Source organism: Homo sapiens, chromosome 17 (assembly GCF_000001405.40).
Source record: "Homo sapiens chromosome 17, GRCh38.p14 Primary Assembly".
Taxonomy (NCBI): domain Eukaryota; kingdom Metazoa; phylum Chordata; class Mammalia; order Primates; family Hominidae; genus Homo; species Homo sapiens.
Window position 1 is genome coordinate 4412452 of NC_000017.11, and position 3963 is coordinate 4416414.

At 49.6% G+C, this 3963-nt stretch overlaps 1 annotated feature.

Annotated features, from left to right (window-relative positions):
* Positions 241-742: an enhancer, noted in NCBI's record as "H3K4me1 hESC enhancer chr17:4315987-4316488 (GRCh37/hg19 assembly coordinates)". NCBI's record gives its function as "activates a minimal SCP1, AML or CMV promoter by ChIP-STARR-seq in naive H9 embryonic stem cells {active_cell/tissue: H9 hESC(naive)}" and the evidence as "EXISTENCE:reporter gene assay evidence [ECO:0000049][PMID:30033119]".

The window sequence follows — 3963 nt, forward strand, 5'->3', positions numbered from 1 at the left end:
TGAACTAATAACGGTTTTCACATTTGTTTGTTTAAAAAAATACATTTCTGGCTGGGCGCGGTGCCTCACGCCTGTAATCCTAGCACTTTGGGAGGCCGAGGCGGGTGGATCACCTGAGGTCGGTAGTTTGAGACCAGCCTGACCAACATGGAGAAACCCCATCTCTACTAAAAATACAAAATTAACAGGGTGTAGTGGCAGGCACCTGTAATCCCAGCTACTTGGGAGGCTGAGGCAGGAGAATCACTTGAACCCGGGAGGAGGAGGTTGCGGTGAGCCAAGATCGCGCCATTGCAATCCAGCCTGGGCAACAACAGCGAAACATCGTCTCAAAAAAAAAAAAAAAAAAAAAAAAGAAAGAAAGAAAAGAAAAAAAGAAAAAAAAAAGATTGATTTCCCCACCTCCCCACCTCTTCCACGAGTTCCCCAAGCCCTGCAAGATGACTTCGATGGGATACAATTGTTTCCACCTCATCACAGCAGAATGATAATGCCTATAGCCTGTCAATGGCAAGTTCTCGAATGTGTGGGCACCAGGAACACACCCCGGAAGCCACATGTCCTTGCCCCAAGGGAAGGGCCCTGGAGAGCAGAAGAGAGGAGGAAAGTTGAGCCTCTTCCCCTTTTCCGTCCTCCTTCCTCCTGCCCTGATTCTGCCCACAGAGGAAGGGTCTGAGCTAGAGGAACCTGGACAGTGAATCCACACCCTATGGACAGATGAGAAGACCGAGGCCAGAGACAACGCAGGGTCCGGCCCCTGGTCCTATGCCTGATGCCTCTCACTGGAGACCCCTCCCCCACTTCAAGGTCGCCCCTAGAAGGCAAACGCTGAAGCCAAGTGTTCTTGGAGCGTCTCTTGGTGGACGCTTCGGCCCTGCCACGGAACGGCCCCTTAGTGAAGGTTCTCAGCTTAGACTTCAGCGCCACCTGGTGGCCACCGGGCATCAGACCTGGGACTTGCCTCGAGGGCTGCCAGAAACTTGAGTTTGTCCACTCACATCACTGCATCCCGTGGAGAAGTCCCAGTGCCGACCTGCTTGCTTGCTTGCTTGCTTGCTTGCTTGCTTGCTTGCTTGCTTTCTCTTTCCTTCTTCCTTCCTTCCTTCCTTTCCTTTCTTTTCTTTTTTCTTTCTCTTTTTCCCTCCCTCCCTCCCTTCCTCTCCTTCTCTCTCTCTGTCTCCCTCCCTCCCCCCTCCCTCCCTTCTCTCTCTCTCTGTTTTTCTCTCTCTCTGTCTCTCCTGCCTTCCCGCTTTCTTTCTTTCTTTCTTTTTTTTTGTTTTTGAGACGGAGTCTCGCTGACTCCCATGCTGGAGTGCAGTGGCGCGATCTCCGCTCACTGCAAGCTCTGCCTCCCGAGTAGCTGGGACTACAGGCGCCCGCCTCCACGCCCGGCTAATTTTTTGTATTTTTAGTGGAGACAGGGTTTCACTGTGTTAGCCAGGATGGTCTCAATCTCCTGACCTCGTGATCCGCCCGCCTCGGCCTCCCAAAGTGCTGGGATTACAGGCGTGAGCCACCGCGCCCGGCTTCTTTCTTTTTTTTTTTTGGAGTTTCACTCTGCCACCCAGGCTGGAGTGCAATGACACGATCTTGGCTCACTGTAACCTCTGCCTCCAGAGTTCAAGTGATTCTCCTGCCTCAGCCTCCCGAGTAACTGGGATTACAGGCGCCCATCACCACATCTGGCTAATGTGTGTGTGTGTGTGTATGTGTGTGTGTGTGTGTGTGTATGGAATTTCGCTCTTGTTGCCCAGGCTGGAGTGCAATGGCACGATCTCGCTCCCTGCAACCTCCGCTTCCTGGGTTCAAGCGATTCTCCTGCCTCAGCCTCCTGAGTAGCTGGGATTACAGGCTTGCGCCACCATGCCCAGCTACACCTGTAATCTCAGCACTTTGGGAGGCCAAGGCGGGCAAATCACCTGAGGTCGAGAGTTCGAGACCAGCCTAGCCAACATGGTGAAACCCCGTCTCCACCCAAAATACAAAAATTAGCCGGGCGTGGTTGTGGGTGCCTGTAATCCCAGCTTCTCGGGAGGCTGAGGCAGGAGAGTCGCTTGAATCCGGGAGGCAGAGGTTGCAGTGAGTCGAGATCGTGCTATTGCACTCCAGCCTGGGCGATAAGAGCAAAACTCTGTCTCAAAAAAAAAAAATATATATATATATATATATATAATCTTTGTGTATCAATCTTGTATTTGCAACCTTGCTGAATGCACTTATTAGTTCCAATAATCTTTTAGTGGATTCCTTAGGCTTTTCTATATACAGGATTATACTTGCTTATATTTGCTTCTTCCTTTTCCATTTGGGTACTCTTTTATTTCTTTTTCTGTCCTAATTGCCCTGGCTGGAGCCTGCAGTACACTGTTGAATAGAAGTGGTAGGAGCAGACATCCTTGTCTTGTTCCTGACTTTGGAGAGAAAGTGTTCAGTCTTTCATCATTAAGTATGATGCTAGCTGTGGGTTTTTTATAGGTGCCCTGTATCAGGTGGAGGATGTTCCTTTCTATTCCAATTTGAAAGTTTTATCATGAAAGGGTGTTGGATTTTGTCAAATGCTTTTTCTCCATCTATTAAATGATAATGAGATTTTTTTTTTCTTTCTTTTTTCTTTTTAATACAGTCTCGTTCTGTCACGCAGGCTGGAGTGCATTGGTACAATCATGGCTCACTGCAACCTCCGCCTCCTGGGCACAAGCGATTCTCCTGTCTCAGCCTCCTGAGAAGCTGGAATCACAGGTGTGCCACCATGCCTGGCTTGTTTGTTATTTTATTGATGTGATATACTGCATTTATTGACTTTCAGATATTAAACCAACCTGGCATCCCATCCCAGGGATAAATCCTACGTGATCATGGTGTATCATTCTTTTTTGTTTGTTTTTGTTTTTTGAGACGGAGTCTCACTCTGTTGCCCAGGCTGGAGTGCAATGGCACGAACTCAGCTCACTGCAAGCTCCACCTCCTGGGTTCCAGCGATTCTCCTGCCTCAGCCTCCCGGGTAGCTGGGATTATAGGTGTGCACCACCATGCCTGGCTAATTTTTTGTATTTTTAGTAGAGACAGAGTTTCTCCATGTTGGCCAGGCTGATCTCAAACTCCTGATCTCAGGTGATCCACTCGCCTCAGCCTCCCAAAGTGCTAGGATTATAGGCGTGAGCCACCATGCCCGGCCTGTGGTGTATCTTTTTATTATTATTATTTTTTGAGACAGAGCTTCACTCTTGTTGCCCAGGCTGGAGTACAATGGGGTGATCTCAGCTCACTGCAACCTCCACCTCCTGGGTTCAAGTGATTCTCCTGCCACAGCTTCCTGAGTAGCTGGGATTACAGGCATGTACCACCATGCCCAGCTAATTTTGTATTTTTAGTAGAGATGGGGTTTCTCCATGTTGGTCAGGCTGGTCTCGAACTCAGGACCTCAGGTGATCTGCCCTCCTCGACCTCCCAAAGTGCTGGGATTACAGGTGTGAGCTACTGCGTCTGGCCAGGTGTATCATTTTTATAATAATAGAATTCTTATTATTGTTTTAAGCCCCTAAATTTTGGGGTAATTTACTAAGCAGCAACAGACAACTAGCTCAAGCTGCCTGTTATGGGACCACAGCCGTCGCCTTGCTTCCTTAGCTCCCAGGTGAGTGTAGTCAAGATGGAGGCAGATGCCTTCTTGGGGGCCTGCTCTCTTGGCTGTAAGGGCCTTTTCTTTCCAGTGGCTTGTGGTGAGATGGTCTAACCTGGAGCTGGGGCCAGGGACTCCCTCTTCTGTCTGGTGAAATGGGTGTTGCAGCTGCAGCCAGGAGCATAGGGAGGCAGAGCTGGGACAGAGCCTGAGCTTGTCCCCTGGGTCTTCAGGTTCTTTCTTTGGTAGTGAGAGTTGAGGCTGGAGTCTCAGCTGTGCCCTCCCGTGGCCTTCACTTATGGTTAGCTACATGTGGGAAACAGATGTTGCCTATTCACATGAGG